The sequence below is a fragment of the Homo sapiens genome, chromosome 12 (genome assembly GCF_000001405.40).
Source record: "Homo sapiens chromosome 12, GRCh38.p14 Primary Assembly".
In the NCBI taxonomy this organism is placed as follows: domain Eukaryota; kingdom Metazoa; phylum Chordata; class Mammalia; order Primates; family Hominidae; genus Homo; species Homo sapiens.
In genome coordinates, this window is record NC_000012.12 from 34,003,124 (window position 1) to 34,020,887 (window position 17,764).

A 17,764-nucleotide genomic window follows, 5' to 3' on the forward strand; every position below is an offset into this window, starting at 1 on the left:
CAGATGGAGATCTGAGATCATCTCGGCCTGGATTTCATTGTCCATATCATTATCAACAGTTTGGTCAAAGCCATTCGACAAGTTTCTAGGAAGTTCCAAACTTTCCCAAATTTTCCTGTCATTTGAGCCCTCAGAGTCTCTAGGAAGTTCCAAACTTTCTCATATTTTTCTATCTTCTTCTGAGCCTCCAAAGTGTTCCAATCTCTGCCTGTTACCCAGTTCCAAAGTCGCTTCCATATCTGTCGGTATCTTTACAGCAGCACCCTACCCCTAGTCCCAATTTACTGTATTAGTCTGTTCTCATGCTGCTGATAAAGACATACCCAAGACTGGGTAATTTATAAAGAAAAGGAGGTTTAATGGACCTCCTTTCCACATAGCTGGAGAGGTCTTACAATCATGGTGGAAGGCAAGGGAAGAACAAAGGCATATTTTACTTGGAAGCAAGCAAAGAGAGAAATGAGACCCAAGCAAAAGGGGCTCCCCCTTATAAAAGCATCAGTTCTGATAATACTTACTCACTCTCATGAGAATAGTATGGAGGAAACTGCCTCCACAATTCAATTATCTCCCACCAGGTCCCTCCCACAACACATGGGAATTATAAGAGCTACAATTCAAGATGAGATTTGGGTGGGGACACAGCCAAAGCTTATCAGTCCCCCTACCCCCAAACAAGTATAATAGCTCCCCAGCAATAGTTCATAACCATTCTGAAACAACTGAAATGACAGATACAGAATTCAGAATTTGGATGGTAAGGAAACTCACTGATTTAGGAGAAAGTAGAAACCTGATCCAAGGAAACTAAAGAATCCAGTAAAATGATCTAAGAGTTGAAAGATGAAATAGCAAATTTAAGAAAGAACCTAACTAAACTTCTAGAGCTGAAAAACTCACTACAAAAACTTCGTAATACACTAGGAAGTATTAACAGCAGAATAGACCATGCTGAGGAAAAAATCTCAGAGCCAGAAGATCAGTTCTTTGGCTAAACTCAGTGGGACAAAAATTTTAAAAAAGAAGAATTAAGAAAAATGAAAAAACCTCCACAAAATGTGGGGTTATGTAAAGAGAGCAAACCTACAATCCATTGGCATTTCTGAGAGAGAAGAAGAGAGAATATGCAGCTTGAAAAATATATTTGTGGATATAGTCCACAAAAATTCCCCTAATCTCACTAGAGAGGTTGATGTGCTTACCCAAGAAATACAGAGAACCTAGTCTAGGTATTATACAAGGCACATAGTCAACAGATTAACCAAGGTCAATGCAAAAGAAAAAATTCTTAAATGCAGCTAGAAAGAAGGGTCAAGTTATCTAGAAAGGGAACACTGTCAGGTTAGTAGCAGACCTCTCAGCCAGAAGAGACTGGGAGCCTAAGTTTAGTGTCCTAAAAGAAAAGAAATTCCAACCAAGAATTTCATATCCTGCCTCACTAAACTTTATGCATAAAGGAGAAATAAAATCTTTCTCAGACAAGCAAATGCTGAAGGAATACATTACAACTAGATCAGACTTATGGGAGGTTCCTAAGAGAATGCTAAACATGGGGTCAAAAGAATCACACCTACTACCACAAAAACACACAAGCACATAGCCCACAGTTATGCTAAATCAACTACACAATCAAGTCTACCTAACAACTAGCAAACAACATGATGACAGGATTAAAATCACAGATATAATTATCAACCTTGCATGTAAATGAGCTAAATGCCCCATTTAAGAACACAGAGTAGCAGGCTGGATAAAAAAGACAAACCCTACCATCTGTTGTCTTCAAGAGACCCATCTCAAATGTGATGACACTCACAGGCTCAAAGTGAAATAATGGAGAAATATCAACCAGGCAAAAAGAAAACAACAACAACAACAAAAAACAGGAATAGCTCTTCTTAAGTTAGATAAAACAACCATTTTAATACAGAACTAAACTGAATTTCTAGAACAGAAAACCTCTCAATATTGACTTTAGACTTTAATGAAAATTAAGAACAATGAAGGACATTGCATAACTATAAAGGGTACAATCCAAAAAGAAGCCTTAACTATGTTAATTTAGTCTGCTGCTAACCTGATGGTTTTCCCTCCATATATAAATTGACCCTTTTCTCTAGATACCTTTAAGATTGTTTTCTATTTCATTGACTATCCAACATAGGAGCACCTAGAGTCATAAAATAAGTTCTTCCTGGTCTACAAAAAGACTTAGACAACCACACAATAATAGTAGGGAACTTCAACACCATACTGAAAGCATTAAACAGATCATCAAGGCAGGAACCTAACAAAGAAACTCTGGACTTACACTTGACACTTGACCAATTGGACCTAATAGACATCTACAGAACACTCTACCCAAAAACCACAGAATATATATTCTTATCATCTGGACATAGACCATATTCTAAGATTGACCACAGGCTGGAAATTGAACAACTTGTTTCTGAATAACTTCTGGGTAAACATCAAAATTAAGGCAGAAATTTTTTTAAAAAATTGAAATTAATGAAAATAGGGACATAAGTTACCAAAATTTCTGGGATGCAGCCAAGGCAATATGAAGAAGAAAGTTCATAGCCCTAAACACCTTCATCAGGAAGTTAGAAAGATCTAAAATTATTAATCTAACCTTGTACCTAAAAGAACTAGAAAACAAAAGAACAAACCAACTCCAAAGCTAGCAGAAGATAAAAAATAATCAAAATTAGAGAGGAACTTTAATGAAATTGAGATTCAAAAATCCATACAAAACATCAGTGAAGCCAAGAGTTGGTTATTCAAAAAATAAATAAATAAGATTAATAGACTGCTAGCTAGATAAAGAAAAAAAAAGATCCAAATAAATACAATCAGAAGTGGCAGAGATGACATTACAACTAATCACACAGACATACAAAAGCTCCTTAGAGAATACTATGAGAAACTCTATGCACACAAATAAGAAGATATGGAGGAAATGGATAAATACCTGGAAACCCACAATCTCCCAAGATTGAATCAGGAAGTGATTGCAACTCTGCATAGACCAATATCGAGCTCTGAAATTGAATTATTAATAAAAAAAAAACCCTACCAATCCAAAAAGACCCTGGATCAAATGAATTCACAGCCAAATTCTACCAGAAAGACAAAGAACTGGTTTCAATCATACTGAGACTATTCCGAAAAATCAAAAAGGAGGAACTCCTCCCTACCTCATCAGCCTAATACCAAAATCTGAGAGAGATACAACAAAGAAAACTTCAGGCTAATACCCGTGGTGAATATAAATGCAAAAATCTTAATAAAATACTAGCAAATTGAATCCAGCAGCACATCAAAAAGTTAATTCACCATGATCAAGTAGGCTTCCTTCCTGCAATGCAAGGTAGATTCAAGATAGGCAAATCAATAAAGGTGATTCACCACATAAACAGGATTAAAAGCAAAAGCCATATGATCATCCCAATAGATGCAGAAAAAGCTTTCAGTAAAATTTAACATCATTTCATGATAAAAACCCTCAACAGACCAGGCGTCAAAGAAATATACCACAACATAATAAGAGCAATCTATGACAAACCCACAACTAATACCATACTGAATGGGTAAAGGCTGGAACCATTCCCCTTGAGAACTGGAACAAGGCAAAGATGCTCACTCTCTTTTAAAGAAATCATTCACTTGTAACTATCACTTAGGAAGGGCAACTTTTATGGAAAAGCAATGATACATGCCCTCTCCAAAGAATCTTTTTTTTTTACTTGATTTGCAGGAATCTGTCATGGAGTAAGACAGTTAGTAACTCCCTTCAAACTTAGTAGCAGGGAATAGCATGATGGAAAGAATGTTTATTAGATTGCCACTCTCTAGCTGTATAACTTCAGGAAGGGCATTCAACCTGTGAGTCTCAGATTTTAGTGGTAAAATAATATGTACCTCAGTGTTGCTATGAGGATTCAATCAGATAATATAGAAGTGCCTAGCACCTATCACCAAACATTACCTAGACAATATACCCATCACCATAATATAAAATTGAATAGCCAGTTACAATTTACGTAAGAGTACTCAAATATAAAGAAGGTTGTAATTATGGAGATAGTCTAGGTAATGAACTGATTGTTTCACTAACGTTTAAATTTTTACATCTATGGCCTCTAAGTTCCAGCACAATAAATGGTGGCTTCCTTTCTTAACCTTTCCTAATACCTTATCCAAGTTTCTATAATGAAATCAGCTGTTTATTCCAATGGACAATTCTAACTTCCTAGGTGTTAGGAGCACCTATCTCATTTACCAAATCATTCACCAATGAATCAAAAAAGCAACCCAAAACCAAAAGAAAATGCCAAGTATTGGGTTCAAGTTCTAGATTCAACTACTTTACCATCTGCATGACTTTAAGCATGTTGATCTTTCTAGACTCAGAATTTTTCAGCTGTAAAATGGTAATCTATAGTTGCTTTACAAATCTTTGTAGGTTTTATGTAAAGATAAAAAACTCATACTCTTCGGCTTTGTAAATTTGGGTCTTTCATAAATACAATTAATAGTATTGTTTCTCTTATTGGTATATATGAATATATTCAACTTAAGTAAAACTAGTTTATGATTCTATATTTTTTACAATGTGTAACAGATTTATTTTCTATTCTTACAAATTATACCCTAGAGAGAAAATAAAACCAGGAATCTGTGAAAAGGCAGCCAATAATTTTCTCTCCTTATCCTAGAAAACCAGAAAATAGCAGCATAATGAGACAAGCATAGTAATTACACTATTTGCAGAACTAATTCTATGTGATATGATGAAGATGCCCTCCTGGCCCTCAATAAAACATAAATAAGCAATTTTGTCTTACAAAGCGTTATTTTTAAAATATAGTAATTAACCCCTTACCTTTATCTTCTTTCACTTTCCACTCTGGGATTTTGTATTATTTTGCAAAGTAGAGATGATTCATTTCTGAAAAATGGCAACCATTTTCAGTGTTGGCATAGGAGGGTGACAATATTGTTGGTGGATAATTCTGAGCGCGTGTCTCTATACAACATCCTAGATTCTCCAGCCTCTTTTCAGGACCAAATGTGTCTATTTCATTTTTTTCGTCTGTTTTCTAATAAAAACCTAAGTTGTTTTTGAGCCAGATTATGGGATCAATAAACTAAACACTTTAAAGTGTATGTATCCAATCTGTAACTAATTGCCCATAAAACATCACTGGAAATTAAATGAGGGAGAAGAATGTATTTATCAGAAATCCTCTTGAGAGTGTCCTACATGTTACTGAATTGAAAGCTCCTTTATTGCGATGTATGCTGGAAGAAAGGGGTTTTTAATGAAGCACAACATCCCTCCCTACACTCTCCCCCAAGTCCCTCCTCACAAAGGGGTATGAAATGGACCCTAAACTACCTTGTAAGGATGTCTTCAAGGTGTCAGCAGTATTGTATTCCTTCTGGAGGCTTTAGAGCAGAATCCATTTCCTTAACCTTCCTAGTTCCTTAGAGGCCTCCTGCCTTCCTTGGCCTGTGGTCCCTTTCTCAAATCACTCTGACCTCTGCTTCCATCATCATGTCTCCTTCTCTCATTCTGAGCTTCCTTCCTCCATTTTCTAAGACCCTTTGTAATTATGTTGGACCTACTGAACAGGCTCATGATGCTTAACCTAACCATATCTGCAAAGTATCTTCTGCCACTTAAGGTAACACATTCACCATTTGTAGGGATTAGGAGGTAGACACCCTTGGGGAGCCATTATTCTTCTTAGCATACTGCATATACTATTCTGGAATAAAAAGGATGTGAATTTAAACCCTGAATCACTGTTTGTTCTATAGGACTTTAAGCAGATTGCTGAAGTAGTAACCTCTTTCCAAAGCTATAAATTGGTGATCTTGGTTATAACTGCCTCACAGAGTGGTTGTGAGAGTCAAATAGGCCACAAAGCTAGTTGAATAATGCCAACACAGTGACTACATCTTATTTGCTAGACTAATATTTCTCAAATTTCAGTGACTAATGACCCTTTTCAAGAAAAAAAGTTCTCTTCAGCATTGATAAAATATTTAAATTATTTTTTATTTAAATAAGTACAGCATAAAACTGAGTTAGCTTTTGTTTATAATTCTTAAACAAATATATGAAGCAAATTTACAAGGCAAATTAATAGACTTAAGCAATGCTTGTAACCTAAATTGCATACTTGCTACTATGCCATTGGACTTTTCCAGTTAGACATTCTTATTTACTATATGTGTGTGTGTGTGTGTGTGTGTGTGTGTGTGTGTGTGTGTTTTGAGATGAGATGAGGTCTTACTCTGTCACCCAGGCTGGACTGCAGTGGTGTGATCTCGGCTCACTGCAACCTCCACCTCCTGGGCTCAAGCCTTCCTCACATCAGCCTCCCAAGTAGCTAGGTGCACCACCATGTCCGGGTAATTTTTTGTATTTTTGGTAAATATGGGGTTTTGCCATGTTGTCCAGGCTGGTCTCAAAATCCTGAGCTCAAGCGAGCTGCCCACCTCGGCCTCCCAGAGTGCTGGATTTACAGATGTGAGCCACTGTACCAGGCCAGTGTCCATATTTGCTATAGTTTTATGATACCCAAAAGCTCTCACCATCTTTCACTATTCAAATTATGCATTGGGAAACATTTATCAGTAGGATGGTCAGCCATGTTATCATTGGGCCTCCAAACATCGCAAGCCTGGGTATAAACATAAAATCAAACACAAGTGCCTAGTTCGCATTGCAGTATCAACTCTAAGAACATCTAGCACTGCATTTTCTAGTACAATAACCACTAATCATTAAAGAGAAGTTAATATAAAAAATTAATATTTAAGTTAATATTTAATTAAATTACCAGCCTGGCCAATATGGTGAAACCCCTCTCTACTAAAAATACAAAAATTAGCCAGGCATGGTGGCACAGGCCTGTAGACCCAGCTACTCGAGAAGCAGAGAAAAAGAATTGCTTGAACCCAGAAGGCAGAAGTTGCAGTGAGCCGAGATGGAGCCATTGCACTCCAGCCTGGGCAACAGAGAGAGACTCTGTCTCAAAAAAATTAATTAATTAATTAGTTAATTAAAGTCTCTGTTCAACTACCCTAGTTGCATGTGGCTGTGATGATCATATTAGACAGCATAAAATACATTTTAATTATCGTGGAAAGTTGTGTTTTAAAATTTTTATAGAGAATTATGTACCTTTAGACAACATCTAAAAATACTGCTGCTTAGGAAACACTGTAGTAGATGGTTGTCCATGAGAAAAGGAGTTATTCCTATTGTATTAACTGCTTTTTTCCCTAGTGCTTAGTGCTTAATAAACACTTGTTGAAAGATTGAAATTCCAGTTTAAAAGGCAAACTGTGTATATAAATTATGTTTTCAAACTAAGAAGTTCTGTGATGGAATAAATGTACTAGGGACAGAGATAAAATGTGTAGATCTTTTGTTTATCAAAAGACACATGAACCTATTTAAAATAAATGCTTTTCACATAGCTAATTATTCTACCATGTTTATCATAAATAAACAAATCAAATTTTAATTATTGTTGTTCTATGAATAATGACCATCAATTATTAGGTTAAAATATTTTGATTTATTATTCATGCTAAATGAACACTGTCAAAATAACAGATTTTATGGAAACTAAGACAACATCAAAGGTACAATATACATGTTGTTATTGGTACTAATTAATGTCTTTACATATCTACTAACTTCACTGTAGAGAATAAATATGTTTCTGCAAATTTATATACAAATTCTAATTTTAACAATCAAATCTTTCTTTTATTAAACTAGGGCATTTGCTGTGGAAAGGAGCCCTTACTCTTTTTGGTGTTGTAGTTCTTGTTTTGTTTTCAAACAATGAAAACATTATGTAATTTGAAAAATTATCCCCATGCTGTTTGCTTTGTAAATCCATGTTTGTTTATTAAAGCTTTTACTCTTGAGACTATATTGATAAAAATCTAAATATTTTATCTTCATCTTATATAAGCTTCACATGTTGGTATTAAAAAATCCTCTTGTAATAAACACAACTCTAAGAGATTAATGATTTACATGCTAGAGAAATGAAATAAGCTTATCAGTGATGAAAGAGATGTATGTATCCTACTTTCTGGAAAATAACATATTTCATTACTTGGCTGTTTGATTTACAAAAATTATAGATTGTATTGGAAGTCCCATGAATGTGCCTGGTAAAATATAATGGAATACTTATATTTCTCTTGAGAATACTCTAATATAATGTATTTGTATTTCTCTGAATTTGAAGGGAACAGCCTAAAACTGTATGCTATCAAAATGCAAATATAACATAATTTTGCCAGGAACCTACTCTCTTCATCAGGAAATATAGACCACAATAATTAAATTCATGCTGGAAAACAATGCTTTCCATTAGCACAGTTTTATTTTCAAAACCAGAATAAAGTGTGGATTTAGAAGTAGTCTCAGTCCTCATCTTTGGAAAGATTCAGTTTTTCTAATTCAGGCTACAAGTACTTGTAAAAGATCGTATAAAAATATTTCACCTAACCACATTCATTTTGGCTACCTAGCTAAATGTGAATTACTTTGAAAGAGGGGATTAACGGGCATGACTGTGGACCATAAAATATGCAATAGATAAATATTCTTGAAAAACAGTGACTCTTAAAGAGTTAGTATGTTTTTCACTCATCTTGGAACCTGCAGTAATATTGATGTCCTTGAACAAAGTGATATATTTAGAACAGATGACTGACTGCTATGGGGATTTAAATAAACTATGATTTTAAAATTGTCTATTTCTCTATTTTTAAATTTTCTTCTGAAAATAAATTTCAATGCACTTCTTCAAATCTTTCACATTTTCATACCTCTTTACTTTTTCTTGTGCTGATATCTCTAAATGGAATGCTCCCTCATCCTACCCACATCTCCTTTTTTCTGACATCTAACTAAATTATATTATTTTAAATTTTCAACCTGAGCATCTTTGTGAAGCTTTCTCTAATACTAGGGATAAAGCATCTGGTTTATGAGTATTTTTTCAGGTATATCAACTTTCTCAGAAATTTGTCAGACAAATTTTTAAATTTTAAATGTTTAAATCTTCTATAGTTAATATATGAATCACCTATTTTATTGAATGACTATGTGTCAATAACAAAGATTCACATGGAGTTTTTTTCTTTAATGAAATGCTATAAATTGACTTCCTATAGCAATAAAGTGAACAAAGTTTGGTCTCTCTTTTATATTTGTAGTAATTTATTAGTAAGTCAATATTGCAATGTATCAGAATATTCTTCACCAGCAGGTCAATATAAAATTCAGGAGATCATATAAAGGACCAAAATGTAGTCACAGAGTCTTCTTACATTAATAGTAATTGGTACAGTTTGGACTGACAAGTTCTTAGACCTTGGAACAATTGTAGAATCCAGAAAAATTTTCTAAGACACAAATAAAAGATGTGCTACAGTTTACTATTCTTCCAAAATTCCATGTGTCAAATAATTGAAATAGTACCTGCCTGCAATATTGAAAAAGATAAATGGTAGCAGTTCCAAGGAGACTGATTTTATAACAACTTTAACTCTTCTGGATATAAACTTCTGTATTAATTCAAATACATGGTGAATTGAAGTTGCTAAAAGAGAAAAACAGGTATTAATACCTATGCTATTAATGCTGTCATTTTCACGAGTCTGTTTCAGATTTATCCTTACACATTAATAATACTGATATCCCAAAGCAGAGATTTAATTAAATTTTCCAAATAAGGCAATACATTTGTAAGCATACTTAGAACCATGATAAATAAAGCTAAAATGTATTCTTTAAATAAATGAACCAAGTAAATTTGTGTTGCTGTGACTTTGATTTAATAACATGGAATTTTTACATTACTCACTTGCTAATCAAAGAAATGTTATAATCTTTGATGAAGTATCCCTAGGTTCTGATTTATTTCTTTATTTTAATAAGTCAGGATATATTTTTTATGAAATGTTATTTTAAATGGCATTATGATCAACAGATTTTTATTAAATATTTACTAGGAGCATGCCAAACAAAAGACTCATTACTCAAGCTCCACCAAACTGTTTTCTAGACTAAATTAATTACAGATTCTTAGGCAAACGACAATGCACAGAGTTGTGCTAATGGCTTCACGATGTTCCTAGTTTCCTAAGACCCAATCTATTCCCATCTCCTCAAGTAGCCCTCAATGATTTTAACTACTTTTCTTCTTCCCAAACTTAGGTGACATTATATCCTAGGATAGCTTTCAGTTCTTTTATTTATTCAAGTGTCATCAATGAGTAATGAATAATTCAGTAGTTATTAAGGACTACTGAATGTTTGATACTGTGTTAAGCACCGAGTATGTTACTTGCAATCAAGTGTCTACGTGGCAAATAATGTTAGCAACGTAATAAATGCACTATATTAAGTGGCATTACAGTAGCAACAACATCAAACATATATTTCTCATTGATAGCATTTTAGGCACCTGTGGGTTGACTGCTATGACTCTGTGAATTTCCATCTCAGAACAAAGGCTAAAGATACAGTCCCTATTTAGTACCTGACATTCTTATGGCAGAGGAAAAAGTGCAGGAGTTAATTGTTTAGTGGCTTTTAACATTTCTGCTTGAATGTAATACACAGTTGATTTCTACTGTTTGAGGTAGTAATGTTCGTAAAGAATATTATTTATTGCGTATTAAAATATATTATTTGAAATATATTAATATAATTAATTATATATTATTAATTATATAGTGAAAGATAATTAATAGTGGTGTTATGAATAATCAAGTTAAAAAATGAATAGCCTTCCACAGAAATTCTTATATTTACAGCCTTTTGCCTAGGTCGGTGGCATTGAACATAAGGTGATTACAAAGTGCGTAAGCATTTGACCCAAATGCATTTGTGATAATTACTTATTTTTCATTAATGAAAGCATGTAATTTTTCAGTAAAGCTGTTATATTTTATGTTACATTGAGAAATAAGAGGTTTATGAATAGGTAAGTTGAATAAAAATATTTTGATCAGCCATTTAACACATTAATTAATTTGATTCAACTTTTGTATCTGGCTAGTTAGGATTTAAAGAAAAATTATCTGCAACACTTTCACTTATACCCATGAGGGATTATGCATAGAACTGTACACTTAAAATGTGTGAATTTTACTGTGCATAAATTTTATCTCAATAAAAATAATTTTCAAAAGAAGAACCTGTATCTGTATAGACATTTTAAGTTGTAGTAAATAACATACGTTTTATGAAACAAGTTTTTGATTGCCAGTGTTACTGCTGTTTAAGTTAAGGAAATAGTTGGGAATGGTATAACAGGATTCATGGCAGTAGAAAGCCAAAAGTATTGATTTAATTTCTCTCAACTTCAAAAAAAAAAAAAAAAAAAGAGAGACAGAGAGAAATAAAAAAGTCTTGGTTCAAGATCTGATTACAAGGTTTGCCACTTATAGTGTAAGACTATCATCACATCTGCTTAGAAATGAGACATACATAAAAGTGTTGGCCAGGATACCAGAGAGCAGAGAGAAGGAATTCCAACCTGCAAACTGATTTATTTGCTGCTTCTGCCTCATTATAACTAATACATGTCCATTTTTCTGAGGAATTTGGCTAAGATTTCCTTTCACTGCAATGAGCTATCTGATAATGTGTTTGCAGAGGTGGAAAAGTAGAGTGCTCTACCAATGAAGAATACCCATAATCATGAAAAAAAATTAAAGTTCTGGCACATAACAAAAAGCCAAATTAGTTTATGCTTGCTTGATAAATAACCCTCTTGACACTCAGAGAGCACTGAATTCTCAAACATAAAAGAAAGGGCTAAGTTTAGGTTGAGTTGTTGAGCATTCTACTAAATGATGTTGGCCAAACAAAAACACTATGCTAAATATTTATTATATTAAATTTTTAAGTTACCAAGTCAAAAATATCACCTTACACATCTTCTGGACATAGTGCAAAGTTGTTTATTTTATTTCATTTTTTAAGTTAAGTTTTCATTTGTTATAAGGTAATAGAACATTTCTCAAACTACACAGGGTAAATAACTAGTTTTATTCTAAATTTCCAACCTATCATGGATTAATAATTCTATGAAATATAACAAAAATGAATTGTTAGAAAAGTGAAAGAAAAAACAGACATATAAAATATGTTCATTTTTAGTATTAATTCTATAAAAATAAAATTACCCTGCCATACTGCTATAAAAATTTCTAAAAGCTTATTCTTAATTTCTGTACTTATATGTTCAAAAATAGTAATACAGGGATCTGAACAGGCACCAGTCCACAAAACACACTTTTAAATGAACATCTGTGTTTCTTCCAAAGGTAAAATAAGTGCAATAAGCTTATAATTGTTCTAAATAAGGGTCACTATATTTGCCAAACTTCAATTTGTTTTCCCAAGATTTAACTATTTTCAATAGTTTGACAGTTACCTTGGTAAATTGAAATAACAAGCCTATGTTGCCATTTCTTGACTTTTTCTTATTTTTATTTATTATTATTTTAACTTTTATTTTAGGTTTGAGAGTACATGTGAAGGTTTTTTACATAGGAAATCACATGTCATGGGGATTGGTTGTGACAGGGACTTCTTGATGAAAAACTGGACAATTGACTTGAATTAAAGTTTTATAAATGAGAATATTCAAATGACCAATAAACATATGAAAAAAGCTTATTTTCATTCGTCATTAGGTAAATACAAATTAAAACTACAATGAGATGCCATAACATATGCACCAGAATGGGTAACAAAAAACTAACAATACTAGGTGTTGATAAAGATATGAAAGAAGAAAAACGCTCATATACTGCTTGAAGTATAAATTGGTACAACCACTTTAGAAGACCCATTGTTAATATTTAACCTAGAAAATGCACAGATTTATGAGACACTCATTACAATCCTGGGTATATACTCTACAAAATGTGTGCTTAGGTAATATAATCAAGACACACACACACACACACACACACACACACACACACTTCAAATTCTAGTGGAGATCTGTTTTTATCTTGTGCTAAGTGCTGAACCCTGAATGTCAAAAGTCTTCCTCTCAGTATTCCTGCTCCATCCTCAACTTTCAGCACTCTTTGCAAGCCTGCACCTCAGAGGGATTTTTTTCCCCATGCTTTGTCTCATTCCCCAACACAACAGTTGACTTCTTGTCACTCAGTGCCAGCCAGGTTCATAGCGGGAGGTGAGGAGGTAGGTTCAGTGCTCCTGGCCCATCTTCAGTGGTAGACACATCCTTCTTGAGGCCCTACCTGAGAGGGGGAATGGAGGGCTTTCAAGTTGTTCCTGTTCCTCCCTACTATAGTAGCCAAACTGTGCCTTGCACGTGTGGCAGTTTTAGAGCCAGGGAGTGTTCGCTACCTCTCCACTAGGAGCACCATACCTCTGCTTTGAATTACTGAAGGATGGAGGCCTGAAGACCTTCCTGCTACTCCATTGAGGGCAAAAGATTTTTCCTTCTCTCCCTTCTCCAGGATCTTTGGCTGCCTCCTGGGGTGGAACTATCTCACCTTCCTCAGAGAACTAAGGCTTTTTCTTCACATGATTGAAGGGCCCAGACAAGTGTGCAGCGTGTTGTTCATTCCCCAGAGGCAGCCAATCAACCCATGTGTGCCTGTATCTCCATCAGAGTCTGGTTTCTCACCTGCTCCCAATATTTTTTTGCATGATGACATGACTATCGTAAGACATTTTCACTACCAAAAATAATAGTAATGAATTGTTAATATTGTACATAATGAACTTTAAAAAATTACAAACATAGCCATCCTGAGTGGCAGTCGCATTGGGCGGATATTTGAGTGCTGATGGGTAAACATGACTACAATCAGTAAACATAAACTAAAACATAACTGGAATCAGTAAACAAACTAAAACCTAACTGGTAGCAAAAGTAACAAATTGGTCCTGATTCTGTTGAAGTTGTCAACACCCTCTAGCGGAAATATGTTTTTTTTTAAAAGCAAGTTTTTAAATGCAGAGACCTTTCTCACACATTTTTCCAGTCATTGAAATTTGGCAGTTACAGAAACTAACATTTGGAGGCAGTAAAAAAACAGTGTAGTGTTTCATTTTATTATAGTAAATAAATGTAAATCATTTAATACAGTTTGTTGCCTCATTCAGAAAACCAACCCAAAATGAAGCAAAAACGAAAGGAAATCTAGAAAGAACAGGAACCACAGGAGAACAGAAACTACTGATTCAATGTTTCTGCTTTGTCTGGTGAAAATAAAATCTCTATGAGGGTTTCTGCATTTAAATTTAATTAATGAAAAGTCAGATGATCTCCATTCTCAATAAATTGAGAACATGCACATGTTTGAAGAGTAATATTCTGAATGTATGCCGAACTTATAGCCAGTGCAGGGTACCTAATGCTCATAAGGATGCCCACTTGTTTTACTCTGCTTCTAAAGCCAAAAGGGAATTAACCAGAAACCCTCCTCAATATTTCACAAAACCTCCCTCTTTTCAGTAATAACAATTGTATCATAAATCTCACTCTAACGTCTGAAATTTTAAAATTAGTAAGATCATATTACTGCGTCTCTTAAACTGTGAAATTATTTAAGAATTAAAGTTAATTCAATGTCTTCTCTTCTAACTTTTTACTTTGGTTGATTTAATAGTACTGTAATTTCATCAGTATAATAGCCCAGTTCATTTAATAATCAATTTATGATTCTCTTTCTTTTCCTAGAATGTTTCTTATCTAACTGGCAGCAATAGCTGTAGGACTATGGTGTTTCAGCTGCTTATTTTAGCAAAAAGCAAAGTTCCCCTTCACATAGTCTTTTGAAAGAAAAGACATCTGTCTGAATATAAATATATGTAACTAAAAGCCATTAAATTGTAAGTATTTAAGTTCCTCTTCTTCAGCTGCTGAGGAGGAACATCGTCTATATGTTCATTGGCAATGAACTTTGTTTCTTGGTAGGGTGAAGCCTGGAGATGAAGAATCAGAGAAGCCAGGGGACAAAGCAGCATGAGTGATCAGAAAAGCAAGGGAAATGTAGAGGACAGCAGTATTCTCAAACTTTCAGGTCCATCAGGTCCACTTGGTAATCTAAGGGAATCATAATTGATTACAAAATGAATGTTAAAACACGTATTACTTGGCTCCCTCTGCTATCAGATTTGTTTTCCGGTAGGTCTAAGGCAAGACTTGATTATTTGCACTTCTAACAGGTTCCCAGGTGATACTAATGCTGTGGTACTTTAGGAACCACTGTTATAAAAAAATATTTAGGAAGTTTTGCTTTGGGTTGTATGGTATATCTTTCTAAATGACCAAGTGTATTAGTCCTTTTTCACACTGCTATAAAGAACTGCTGAAGACTGGGTAATTTATAAAGGAAAGAGGTTTAACTGACTCACAGTTCAGCATGGCTGGGGAGGCCTAGGAAACTTACAATCATGGCGGAAGGCGAAGGGGAAGCAAGGCACCTTCTTTACAAGATGGCAGGAAGGAGAATGAATGCAGGAGGAACTATCAAACACTTACAATACCATCAGATGAGAACGCACTCAGTATCATGACAACAGCACCGGGGAAACTGCCCCAAGGATTCAATTACCTCCATCTGGTCTCTCTGTTGACACATGGGGATCATGGAGATTATGGGGATTATAATTCAAGGTGAGATTTTGGGTGGGGACATAGCCAAACCATATCACCAACCATTCTCTTTGTCTGATACTACAGAATTTACCTGGCCTGAGACTTTCAAGGGTAAAACTGGAAAGTCTGCCACAAACCAGAAAGATTTGTTCTATGAAAGTTATCAGAATCAAAATGGGGCCACTTGCATAAAAACCCTGAAAAATGGAGCTAAGGAAGACCAGAAAGGGAGGGTTTATATGCGTGTATGCCTGACAACAGGAACTACGACAAAAGACTGCACAAACCACAACTTTGCACAAAGGCCACCACAATCTCACAAAAAATTACTTCTGTGAGGACATTTGCCCAGCAACTGCCTGTCCAACCTCAAACTGGTGCCACCCTTTCTACCAGTCCTTGTAACCAAGGATAATTGTCTCAAAGCAATTTATGTAACCCTCTTCATTTTTCTTTTAAAATCCCTTGTCTTCTTTTACCTCCCTATGTTCATTGTATTCTAACTGTAATGCTCAATCCCAAATAAATATTATTGTTTTTTAGAAGGGTCTCTCCGTGTGTGTGTTACTTAGGTTTAACCAGTCCCCTATACAATGTCTTCAAGACATTTTCAGTAGAGCTAAAATACTTGCTAATGCTTTTGTACTAAAATGTGTGTGTTTTTTTTAATTGATTCATTAATTTTAAAATATAGATTTTAAATTGATATGTTAAGATTGACCTCAAGGGTATAGTTGCATTTTAGAGCTTATCATCTGTGATTTTTGGCCCAGGGTGCAGTACTCTGCTGTAGCTAGAACGAATTGTCACCTAGAAAGGAGTAAACCGTCACTCTGATTAGCAAGTGGCCAATGTTTTCATTCAGCAACAAGTGAAAAGGGGTGCAATAAGAGGCAGGGTGTTTCTTGGACTAATACTTCAAAGTTATTACAGTTACAGCCTTTGGGGAAATTCACTGTTCAGATATGGCTGTTTCAAACAGTTAAGTATATGCAATGTTATGCGAGTTCATCAAATTAGGAATGTCTTAATTGATCAAAGTAAGCTAGGTTATACAGGAGAAATAAAGTCAAAATCTTAATGGCTTATAAACAAAAAAGATTTATTTCTTGCTAAAACAACCTATCCTTAGAACCCCAACAGAAATTGCCCATTTTTCTGCCATAACTTACTTATCATAATTCAAGTAGCACAAATAAATAGTTGATGTGCAATGACAATGGGATTGCTCATCCTAATGACTCTTTTTCACAAACATCTATGGAAAATGGCAGTTGGAATTCTGAATGGAAAATGTAAGTTGAAATTAATGCTGATCTAGTTTTAAATGATAGGTCTAATAATATGTAATCTATTTCATTAAAACCCCAGAGGTAGCTATTTTAATAGGTCTTGATTTAGGAGCAGAGCTTTGGAAAGCATTTCAAGATTATCAAAGATGTTGTAATCTAAGAGTAGAAAAGTGACAACAGCTTCATCGATTTGCAGATAGTAAAAATAACTAACAAACGAGTGAAGTACTCTACAAAGAACTCTACTGGGCCCATGGAGCTTCTTAGCATTCTCAGGTAATATGTTTTACATCAATCGTTTCCAAATATGAAGATTATTATTCAGTGATTTGAGATGGCTCTCTACAATCTAGTTTTTCACAATGTTCCCCCAGCAGATTTTGATGTAATTAGTCTGTAACATGAACATTTTTTTAAAAGATGAAACTTGTATTTCAACTTGGTGTATGGAAACAGAGGAGAGTGGAATGTAAATGTAAAGTTATTGGGACTAGTGAAACATTCAGTTCAGTATACATTGTAGATTATTTTAACCTATAAGGCTATGAAGTTATTTTATTACTCTTGGTCTGATTTTCTAATTCCTACACTTGGTTCTGACACTAATTTTTTATGTAATTTTAGGTAAATCATTCATTTTTTTAAAACCAACTTCTTTTATAACATGAAGTCAAGTAGATTATTAATAAAGATCCCTACCCATTCTAGAACCCCATATTTCCTTGAAACTTTCCATTTTATGTAAAGGGATGTGTGCAGCATGTA